We start from the raw sequence: 12,371 nt of genomic DNA, 5'->3' as shown, positions 1-12,371 counted from the left end.
CATTTTATTGTTTGTTTAAAAAATACATATATATAAATCAGATTTTCCTTTCCTATTATTTTGACATGATGTATAGGAACAGGTTTAATACAGATGGAACTTAGCATTATTTATCTAAATGATTGTTATTTGCTAGAATATACCTTTTCTAAACAAATCAAACTGTTTATTTGAAAGAAAGCATAATATTAAGTCAAACTAAGCAAAAATTCCACATTTTATAATCATTAAAATTTATTGTGATAAGCGCTGAATTACCTCATTTGGCTTTAATAATCCTATGTGGTAGATACTCTCATTACGACTATTTTACAGATGAAGATGTTGAGGGACACAAAGAAGTCTAGGCAGTTTGCCCAAGGTCACTTAGCGTGTGAGCGAGGTGGGTGGGTTGTGTAAAGAGCCTGAAGCCTGGGGCCCAGGGCCCCTCCATCCAAAGCCTCCCATCAGCCTCTCTAGCCATGACCTCTCTCCAGCTCCACTGAGGATTGTGCTGGAACCTCAAACTCAAACATGTTTAAAGCAAAACTGATACTCTTCCCAATCAAATATCCAATCATGCACTTGACTTGTCTATTTGTCATCATCACCAAACATGCTCATTGTCATTATTCAAATTTGAAATCTTTATCACCTTAGCTTAGCTCGTCACCCACTAGGTCCACCTCCCATCCATCCTGCCATCCATTTACCCTACAAATAGCTTCGCATAGGATTGGGCCTTCACAACCATTTTCCCATCTCTCCTCTCCTTGTTCCCTTGGCCACCACTGTAACTTGCTCCCTTTACTTCTGGACCCCCAGTCACCTCTCTCCTGTCTCCTTGCTTCTAGTTTCTTCCAGTCTCACTGTATTCTGAACACTGCCAAGGTGATGAGTTTCTCAAGTATCTTATAATCACAGAATTTAGAAGTGTACAGGAGCTTAAAAACTGAATGCCAGATTTAATCGAGTGGTAGTTACTGCCTAGAACACCATGTCGAGAATATGACTGAGACTATCTCAGCTCAGTGGAAAAAGAGTACCATTACTGATTTTCGATGTCTGCCAGGAACAGAAGCGAGTGATGGCATGTGCCATGTTTTAACCCCCACTATGATTTCATCTAAGTCTTCCATTTTATAAAATTAGATCTGAGACCGGAGGGTTAAAGGTTTGCCAAAGTCACACATCCAGCCTGTTAAAGGTATTTTACCTTCTGTGTATAGTACATAAAATATATTCCATATACTAGAGTATACAGTCCTTTCATTCAGGAACTAATTCTTATTCAACTTTAAGCCAGTCCACAAAACCATAACAACTTCAAGTCCTGGCAAGATAATGTATCCAATAATTATTCATTAAATAAAAAACAATATTACAAAGTAATCTCAGAGTAGCAGTAAAGGAAGATCATTAATACTATAAATGCTTAATGGTCAAAAGAACTGTGTACAAATAAATGTAATTACATTACTTTCAAGAACCAGAACCTAAACTGATAAGGGTTTCTAGTAAGTGGTCTCTTCAGACTGTATTAATCAATATATAAATGCCATTGGTAATGCAGCCTTTTAAAATACAAAAGTTAGAATAAGCCATTTAATAGCTCTCCTGACATAAAAAGGTTTAGGTAGTTTTTGCAAAGCATACCAAAAGGGATCAGTGGGTCATAGTGCTTAGGCAGTCCCAACAGAAAGGAAACAACTGTTATCAACTAAATACGTACTATGTGCCTGGAACTGTACACTGCTGTATCATAACTAAGAGAAACTAATATTATTTTGATTTTTCCAATGAGGAAACTGTGGTCTTGAGTAACTAACTAGCTCAAGGCCAGTACCTAGTGGTAGCCATAAGGCTAGTATACAACACCATTAGGATTTGGGCCCACAACCTGTTTGACTCCAAAACGAATGCTCTTTCCAAACAAAGAAAAACTTTTCTGAAATAAGAAAATTACCCTCACAAACTTTAAAGGACAAAATACTGATTATGACTCTGCTAAATTACAAATAACCGATCATCAAAAGAAATCACAAATTCGAGTTAAGAAAAAAAACACAAGCTGAGAAGTAATTGTCGCAAGACATGTAATCCACAAAGGATTAGTAGTAATCTACATACAGAACTACAAATTAATAAGATAAATGGGTAAAAGACTGAACAGGTACTTCACAAAACGAAGAACCCAAATGGTTAATAATGTAAACAGACATTCAAACTCAATAATCAGAGAAATTGTAAATAAAAATCACAGTGAGATAATGTTTCACTGGACAAGATTTTCAAGCCTGGTATGTGAAGCACTGGCAAGGCTTTGGAACTGTAACACTTATGGCTAGTGGGAACACGATCAACATAATCGCTTTGTAAAAAACAGTTCTACATTCTCTACTAAGGCTGATGATGCATATGCCCTGTGAGCCAGAAAATTTCATTCCCTAGAGACAGCAAATGGGTGTGTGTGCCTCCACATATGTACCAAGAGCCGTGTACAAAAACCACTCACAGCAACCCTTTCACAATAGCAAAAAAACCTGGAATCAATCCAAATCTCCATCTAGAGTACAATGAATAAATAAATCACGTTAGAATACTATACAGCAGGTGAAACTGAATGAAATACAGCCATGAAATGGATAAACCTTGGGAATAGAATCTTAATCTAAATATGTGAGTCAGAAGAATACATAAAGTATAATTTTGTTGATATAAAGTTCAAAATCATACACAATCAAGATTTTTTAAAAAGGATAAACCATAGAGAAGGGAATGATATGCACAAAATCAAGGATATGGGTTGTTTCAGATGGGATGATGGAGGTGGGCTCTGAATGTATAAGGCTCTTCCTGAACTAGCCGGTGGCTGCCTGAGTGTCCCTTGGTTTATGATTTTTATTTTTTTGAGACAGAGTCTCGCTCTTGTCACCCAGGTTGGAATGCAGTGGCGCGATCTCGGCTCACTGCAACCTCTGCCTCCCCAGTTCAACTGATTCTGTTGCCTCAGCCTCCCGAGTAGCTGGGAATTACAGATGCCTGCCACCATGCCCAGATAATTTTTGTATTTTTAGTAGAGATGGGGTTTCACCATGTTGGCCAGGCTGGTCTTGAACTCCTGACCTCAAGTGATCCGCCCCCACTCGGCATCCCAAAGTGCTGGGATTACAGGCGTGAGCCACTGCACCCAGCTGGTTTACGATTCTTTAACATATATTTTAGGAACATTATTTTGTACCTACCAATTAGTTGATTCAAAAAAGAACTCTAAGAAAAGACTGGACGAGAGGGCAGGACATTGACTATATCAGATGACAGACATCAAGATGCCAGAGCAGAGGGAGCAGAGAGGACCCTTTGCTCAGGGGTTAGCTTCCGAGGCTCCAGCTCTGATGTCTCAAAACCAATGCCTTTTTCTTCCAGAGGGGAAAAAGACTGTTTTTCAACTTTAGAGGTGTTTTACAAAACAACCTAAAACACTGATTAATCTAAATAAACCATGGTATATAGGACTCTTCCACCAAGAATTAAAGAACAGCTTTATAAAATAATTTTGTATTAAACAAATAATTTACAGTGAGAGCCTCACTTTTGTCACCACCATCAAGGAAAAAAATGTGCTGATACTTCAGCAAAAGAAAGGAAAATTCAAGAAGGAAACTTTTGATATTGAGGTCCCTTTGCTGAAGGAACAGAATAGAGTTTCTTCATTTAATGTGCATACAACTCACTTAAAGGTCTTGTTAAAATGTTGATTCCGATTGGCTGAGTTCAGAGTGGGGCCTAAGAATCTGCATTTGCAACAAGCTTCCAGGCGATTCTAATGTTGAAGGTCCGTGAACCTCACTATGATAGCAAAGGACATTATGAAAATGCCTTCTCCAGAGATGTTTAAAAATAGAAACACAGGTATATCTAATTGGTGTAATTTCCTTTAACCACTGAGTAGAAAAAAATAGATGATGTTATTCCCACACAATAAAAATTTAAATATAATTACAAGTGCTACCGGAAAAATCAGAGTACTAAACTAGGTCTTTTGCAAAGAAAAGATGCCCTGAGAAAAAGCAAAGACTGAAAATTTACAAGAAAAACCCATGAGATGCTTTACTCACTTCCACAGACCTACAAAGTTCACTCTTCTAACAGGGGTAGTTAGCCCCTTCCTTCTGGAAGAATGGTTTGCATTTCCAATAATGTAGTGAAAGAAACTACGGCTGCCATTAAATAAAGCCCAATTATAATGAAGATACTAGTTACGATGCAACATAATTAAAGGAGCATCATGTCATTGCACGTAAAAAAAATTAGGCTTTAAAATGTTCTATAAGAATATGCTATTAAAAAGAAAAGCTTAAAATTATTTCGACAAAATCCACACTGAATGATTTCCACTAATCATGTCTATGTTAGCAGTAGTAAAATCCTTCCACGTCAAAATAGTACTTCCACATGTAAAGTCATACATTCAAACATCAAGACAAAGCAACCACTCTACAAACCCTTCCAGGAAACTCTGCCAATGCCAAGCCTCTGCTCAGGATGTGTCACAAGTAGAGGGAGGTCTTCTCATTTGCTCTGCAACATCACAGATAGTTGTTACTAGTCTTGCCCAAGAGAAGTTCTTCACAGAAAACCTCAACTGTGGGAGACGACCTAGTGACAGCAGTTCCTTCACTGCCCAATACTTCTCCTCTCAGATGAAGGTTTTGGTCACTCCAGTAATGACAGAGTTACAAAGAGCTTAACCCAACAGAATTCTGCACCTGCTGTGTAAGTCAGAACAGCTAAACCTCCTGTGACATCAACACAGGATATTTCTTACAACAAAGTAAATCCAAAACGTTTGGATGATCCATGGGAACAACATTCATAAAAATCTGTACGCAACACGATTTTACACAACCAGCACAAAAAGTCTCATATTTTAATGGCTATTAGAGAAACTCAAAATAACGCACATACACCACACAATGTACATGCAGTTCTATTCTGCAGAGCCACATGAAATCAAAAGCAACTAACTTGGATTCATTAGAAATATTTAAAAATACAAGCAGGCACGCCCTTGGCTTGTAAACACTGACCTTCCCTTCCAACTAGCATATTGAAATTTCCTTTTTCACCTAAACATTTTAGGAAAGCCTGGGTTGACATTTGAAATATATCCCATTTGCCATCCCACACTGAATAATGAATTATAGAGATGGCATTTAGAAGGGAAATTCCCTGTGTCCTGGCCGAGACTAAACATGAGAACACTGGGAACCATCTCCTTCTGACTAGATGCCAGTCAAGAGGCCTTGGTGGTCTGCCCTTCTCCACCCTCTCCCCAGTCACAGCTGTGAAAAATATGTATACAAAAAATACATATAAACAAACACAAACGCAGTGTTACTGTCATAATCCCATTAATTACGCCCGGACACTTAACTTGGCTACCTCAATCAATAGAAATCTGAATACCAATTTAGCCCCCATCATGACACTCATACACCTAATAATCCTTAATAAAGCATCCAAATAATGCAACTGTACTTGACTTAGAAAAAGCAAACGATGAAAACAAAATACAAGCTAAAGGAATCATTTACTATCCATTAAAAAACATATAAATTCCTTTTAAAACAACCTACTGAATTTTAATATACTTATAAATGTCTTAGTGACATAAAACCCAAAATGCATTAATCATTTCATTTAAAAATGGTTTCCTACAGAAAAAATGCATACTTGGTATTAACCAAAGACAGACGAGGTACTGTAATGTCACAGTTGTGAAGGTCCAATTAATAAACACCAACTTTTCACGTAGAAAAAATTAATGCATAGCTGGGTTGTGGTTACAGATTATGGACGATCCACAGAAAAACGCTGCGACTCCCCACACTGCAACATTGCCTCCGCACACCACTGGGCCCAGTCCTTCCTGCAGCCCCTCCCTATGGCTCAGGTCCCCTGGTCGCAGATCAGATTCCGATCCGCAACCACAGGCCGGCTCCCCTCTGCCTGCACTGGTGATGCAGGGCGCCCCTCCGGCAGAGCGCAGCCCAAGAAGAGGTGCAGGAGGGATCATCCCAAAAGAAAAGACTCTCCCCTGCTCACACCTAGCTGACCTGGTCCTCCTGACGCCACATCCAGCAGAAGCTGCAGGACAAGGTAGCAGCAGCTCCAGGCCTCGGCCAAGGGCAGCCCCGGGCCTGGGTGGGGCCGGGCGGGGGCCGCAGGCGCCGAGCGGCCGTGCCAAGCCCCGCCAGCGAGAACCAAGGAAGCTGCGATACTGCTGCATTGTGCTGCATCACGGCGAGGGCACCGTGAGCCATCCATCTTGCCAAAAAAGCACATCCCCGCCCAAATAAACCCCACCGAATTCAATTTTCTGCTCCGCCGAAGCACCCCCACACGCACCCTGTCCTCACTTACTATCTGGCCTGGCTTTCGATTGGAAAAATAATGGACAGAGGTTTGCGTTCTGATCCCCACCCCCTCCTCATCTGATGGCAGCAGTTGGCACCTTTCCTATCACAAAAACAAAGAGAAGGCGCCCCCTAAAAGAGGGCCGTGGGCGTGGTGTGGGGGGTGATGACGAGCCAGCCCACCTACCCAAAGCAGGCCCGGAGGGTCCCTGCGCTGAGACAAACCTGTTGAAGAGAGGGTGGCAGGAGCTGAAGGGCGGGCGCAGCGGCGGCTCGGCGCCCGGAGGCGGCTCACGCCCAGCCCTGGGAGAGTGGGGACGGCAGAAAGGGCGGGGGGGGGGCGGGCGCACGAGGGTAGCAAGCGCAGGGATGGGGCGGAGGTGGGGGCGCGGGGCCGCCGCCTCCGGCTCAGCTGCAGCGCGGCGCAGCCGGGACCACGCCTGGCCGCATCCCCTGCACCGCTACGCGCAGAGCCCGGCCCTGTCACCGCCGCCCCCGCTCCCCACCCGCGGGGCCACAGAGAGGGCACCTGAAAATAGACCCTCCGGCTGTCCGCTGTCCGCTCCGCACCCACCTCCGCGCCAGGGGCCTCCGCGTCAGGGGCCGCCGCGCCCGGCTGCAGGGAGGCGCCGGCGGAGGCAGGGAGGAGGAATCGCCGCGCCGCGCCGGGGCTGGGGCCGGACGGCAGCGGTGCGCACGGCGGGTCTGCTGCCGCCTCACCGCAGAGCCTGCCGCCCCTCGTCCCGCATCATCCGAGTACCAATGAGCACCCGCGACCCGGGCTCCCCGCGCCGCCCCCGCCCGGGCTTTGCAGCCTCCCTGCCCCCACGCGGCTCCCCGGGCGCAGGGCAGGCGGGCAGCGGCGTCCTCCGGCCCTGGGCCCGCGCCCCTCCTCCCGCCCGTCCGCCGCCGCGGAGCCCACCCGGGAGGCAGCCCCAGTGAGTTGGCATCTCCCTGCCTCGGGCCCCCTACCTACCTCCCGGGGATGGGGTGGGGGCGCCGGGGTCCCGTCCTCCTCCCGCTCCTCGGCGGCCGGGCGGGTGGGCCGGGAGGCGACTCCGCGGGTCTGTCCGCGGCTGGGGCCGGGGCTCACAGGACGGGACCAGTGGGCGCTGCTGCGCAGGGCTGCGCGCTCGCTCCGGGAGGAGAGGCGGCCGAGGGAGGGACTGGAGGAATCCGCAGCCTGCACGGCAACAGCGGCACTGATTCCGGGGGCTGGGCGGGAGCGCGGGGGGCGGGGGGAGGAGGAGAGGAGGGCGCTCGCAGGGAGGGGGCGAGGGGCGGGGAGAGGAGCGCGCGGGGCGGGCGCGCGCGCACACACACACAAGCGCACTCCCGGGATCCCTCCCGCACGCCCTCCGCCCTCCGCACTCCTCCCTCCCCACTCCCGCCCGCTCCCTCTGCTTCGCCCGCCCTCTCCTCCTGCCCGGAGCCCCGCAGCCGCCCAGGGAGCCGAGCCTCGGGCGCGTCCACGTCCTCTCCAGCTGAGGCTCTTCCCGGGTCCAGCCCGGACCTCATCCTCCCAGCGGCGGGGACCGACCAGGCTGGCCGGGGCGGGGTGGGCACTGCTGCTGCCGCTACCCGAGCAGGACAATAGGGGCTTTGTCTCCACAGCCGGAGAGGGCCAATTTCACGTTTAATTTGAGGCTAATTCGATTATCGCCATGGAAAGAGGCGGTCTAATTTTCTACGTGATTTGTGCAGCCTCTTTTCGCCCTTGATGTTGCGTTCGGAATGCTGGGGAGAGAGGGTATTTAGGGAGGTTTTGGAGCGTCACTTGCTTGGTTGGTTTGAGATGCAGTTGGTGATGCCTTATAGGTTCTACCCAACTTGGAGAAGGGCGACGGCGACCTCTTCGTGGGAAACCTTGGGCGCTGGAGGATGGGTGGTGGGGGTCGTTCCTTGTGAGGTTAATGTATTCTTTTGCAAATGCTTTTTCGCCCACCCTTTCGCTTTGGGTAGCTGGGAGCAGACCCTACAAGTGGTTCATCCAACTCCTGCCTCTCAGTGCAGGCTCCGCTCGAACCTGAGGCCAGGTGCCCTGCCCCAGTCACTCCCGAGAGAGGGGTCGTCCGGCCGCGGTGGAGGGCCCCGTGATGGCGTGGGGACTTGCGTTTTCCCCTATGCGCATTCCCTGAAACGGAAACTGGACGTTTCCTCAAATTTTTGTCATGTGCCACTGCCCCTTCCCAGTCACCTGGTCTACCCCGTCAGCCCCTCAGGCTGTGTAGAAATTCCAGAACCGTCACTGTTGTGAAGAAAAGATGGTGGAATCACCAGGACCACGAATGGAAACGCTCTTTAGAAAAGCAGTTTGAAGAAACTGACTTTCTCCTTGTTCTGTAAAGTGCACAGGGCGGCACTGCGGGCATTCAGAGGGAGGAGGGCCCTTCCTGTTTGAAAAAGCCCCAGGGCTTTTTCCCCATACAGACCTGATCACCTGGATTAAAATAAAACAAAAATACACGGCAGCCAAGTAGTTTGTATCATGCTTATATCTCAGATCACTAGAACCTGGCCTGATGGGTTTATATGTTTGTATGTATTTTTAAATGAATATTTTAAAATAAAACTCAGTGAAATCGTCACAGCAAACTGAAGATGATTCTTCCTTTTAGGCCTTCATAGGTTTGAATGTTTGAACCTATGTTTACTTTTGATAGGAAAAAAATTGAGGAAAGCAAATAACATTTTTTCTCAGAAGGTGAATCAACACAACCAGACCGTAAACTCTCTTAAAGGTAGGGTTATTTCTTTCTTCACTCTGTACATATAGCAGGCACTTAGGTACTAAAACAAATTTGTTGAATTGAACACAATCAACTTGTAAGCTGCTGCCCTCATTAGGTAATAAGGGAAATCCACTAGAAAGCAAAGTTGTTTGCCTTTCACTTACTTATTTTTTTACCATGGACCCCAGCACCTCCCCACTCACAATGTTAATGAAATACCAAAGAAAACAGTAACAATATTGGGAAGTGCATCCATTTAAATTAATTCTTCCAGTGTTATTCTGAAATGGTTATTCCTTTATCACAGACAACGGTATTTAAATAAATTTTCATTTGATGAATGATTCACCTCCCTTACCCCATTCCACTCCCACTTACGTTGTTTTTTAATTAAAAAAAAAAAAAAGGCCACACACACCTTAGCAAGGTACTCTAGTAAAGCCCCAGTAATTATTCCAAAAATGTGAAAGACAAGGATTCAGAGTTCTACTGTAAATACCTGCATCACAATTTTGAATTCTTACCCTTAGGTGCAAAAAATCACCCTAGAGAACTCAGTGTACCAACGACCAAAAAGAAGTAACAATTCAAAGAAAAGATAGTACAACTGGAAAGATTATTGGAGAAGACATTTTTATGGAAGGCAAAATCTAAAAAAGATAAAAAGTCTTAGGCAGTGATAACAGCTCAGAAGGATTATTCCCATGTATCTCAGAAGCGGCTTAGTTTCTTCTCATATTAGAATCAGGGTTGATATAAAGGAACCTAGAAGTCTTCAATATCATGTTTGTAACATACTACTCTCCACTTTTAAAACCATGTGATTGCATATGGCTTTATCTCCCATCAAAATACTTTATTACAAAATTTTTACAGATATAAATTGTCATTTTAACTTTCCATTCAGAATGTAGGGGAAGGCTGGGCACGGTGGCTCATGCCTGTAATCCCAGCACTTTGAGAGGCTGAAGTGGGTGGATCACCTGAGGTCAGGAGTTCAAGACCAGCCTGGCCAACATGGCGAAACCCCGTCTCTACTAAAAATACAAAAATTAGCCGGGCATGGTGAGACACGCCTATAGTCCCAGGTACTCTGGAGGCTGGGGCAGGAGAATCACTTGAACCTGGAAGGCGGAGGTTGCAGTGAGCCGAGATCGCACCACTGCATTCCAGCCTGGGTGACAGAGCGAGACTCTGTCTCAAAAAATAAAATAAAATAAAATAAAATAAAAAGGTATTGATAAACAGTATTGTCTACTACAACCTGTTTTGTTTAGAAAAGAGAATGATACTCTAAGTATTTCCTTGGTTATATTATATTAACCCAATTGAACTCATCTTTTATTGTACTGATAATAGCCCAAAACTTTAAAATCAGAACATATTTTGAAAACTTGCATATATTTTTAAAATTCCTGTTTACTCCTAAACTTGCTTCCTTTTAACTCTGAACTAGTCTGGGAAATTTCCTCATATTTAAAATATATTTCATTTGGGAATTCACATGTATTAATTTTGCACTGGGAAAACCTAAAGACTTATATGTAAACTATCATTATGAATGAATTTTTTAAAGCACTAATAACATATTTACTCTTGCATAAAGTAATTTATTCTTTCATTATTCAAGAGATAGATATGCCTTATATTCTTCTCGGCTCTGAAATAGAGCAATGGGTAAAATAATTTTAAAAAATCATTGCTTTCATGGATCTTCCATTCTAGTAGATTATATCTAGTATTCCATTCTAGATATAATCAATCAATAAAAAAGTAAAAGATATGTGTAATGATAAATCTGAATAGATGGTAACCTAAATGTATAACAATATTTATAAAATGATCACAATAAATGGTCTCAGCTTTCTATAAAAGATCTTCACATTTTCTATGTTAATAATAATAATGATTATAAGTAGCAACCATAAAATGTTTTCCAGTTTTTAAAATGCTTTATCAAATATTATCTTATTTTGTCCTTTTGCCAGTTCTGTGAGGTAAATATTAACCCCATTCTGTGGATGACCAAATGGTCAAATGAGTTGCCCAAGTTCTCACAGCTAGTTAAGTGCCAGAGATATCTTAGGAGCTAGCATATCAGAGCTGTATGCCTGGGCATTGCATATGAATTACTCAACATAACTCTATTTTGCAAGATGGAAGAAAGTTCTAGAGATGGATGGTAGTGATGGTTCCACAACGATGTACACGTACATAATGCCACTAAACTGTATGAAAATGGTTAAAATGGTAAGTTTTACGTTGTGCGTATGTTACTTTTTTTAACCATTCAGAAAATTCTTTTGGGTTTTTTTTTAACTTTTATTTTGGGTTTGGAGTATATATGTAGGTTTGTAAACAGGTAAACTTGTGCCACAGGGGTTTGTTATACTTATTAATTCATCACCCAGGTACTAAGCCTATTACTCAATAGTCATTTTTTCTGATTCTCTTCCCTCCTCCCAACCTCCACCCTAGAGTAGGCCCCAGTGTCTATTGTTCCCATGTTTGTGTCTGTGTGTTATCATCATTTACCTCCTTCTTATAAGTGAGTACATGCGCTATTTGGTTTTCTCTTCCTGTATTAGTTTGCTAAGGATGACAGCCTCCAGCTCCATCCATGTTTCTGCAAAGGACGTAATCTTGTTCTTATGTGGCTGCATGGTATTCCATGGTGTATATGTATTACATTTTCTTTATCCAGTCTACCACTGATGGACATTTAGGTTGATTTCATGTCTTGGCTATTATTAATAGTGCTTCAGTGAGCATACATGTGCATGTGTCTTTATGATAGAATGATTTATATTCCTTTGGTTATATACCCAGTGATGGGATTGCTGGGTTGAATGGTCATTCTGCTTTTAGCTCTTTGAGGAATCGCCACACTACTTTCCACAATGGTTGAACTAATTTACACTCACAACAGTGTAAAAGTGTTCTTCTTTCTCTGCAATATCTCCAGCACCTGTTATTTTTTGACTTTTTAATAGTAGCCATTCTGACTGGTATGAGATGTTATCTCATTGTGGTTTTGATTTGCATTTCTCTAATGATCAGTGATATTGAACTTTTTTCATATGCTTGTTGGCCACATGTATGTCTTCTTTTGAAAAGTGTCTGTTCATGTCCTTTTCCCACTTTTTAATGGGCTTTATCAAATATTATCTTATTTTCTTGTAAATTTGTTTAAGTTCCTGATAGACGCTAGATTTTAGACCTTTGTCAGATGCACAGATTG

The 12,371-nt window shown here is 43.8% G+C and overlaps 1 protein-coding gene across 10 annotated transcripts in view; it reads right to left on the bottom strand.

The window, feature by feature from the left end:
- Nucleotides 1-7,566, bottom strand: part of SPTBN1 (spectrin beta, non-erythrocytic 1) — a 215,120-nt gene extending 207,554 nt beyond the window's left edge. The window contains exon 1 of one of the 10 annotated variants that reach the window (NM_003128.3): nucleotides 7,375-7,566. The gene's annotated coding sequence lies outside the window, so the exon portion shown is untranslated. Of the gene's footprint in view, nucleotides 1-4,484; nucleotides 4,556-5,715; nucleotides 5,911-6,089; nucleotides 6,185-6,405; nucleotides 6,502-6,585; nucleotides 6,727-6,927; nucleotides 7,163-7,374 lie in introns of those variants that run through there. The other 9 variants (XM_017004781.2, XM_017004779.2, XM_005264517.3 and 6 more) reach the window with 9 other exon arrangements.

This window comes from Homo sapiens, chromosome 2 (genome assembly GCF_000001405.40).
Source record: "Homo sapiens chromosome 2, GRCh38.p14 Primary Assembly".
NCBI classification, from domain to species: Eukaryota; Metazoa; Chordata; class Mammalia; order Primates; family Hominidae; genus Homo; species Homo sapiens.
The sequence above is the reverse complement of the archived record's forward strand: the minus strand, read 5'-3'. Positions and strand labels throughout refer to the sequence as shown.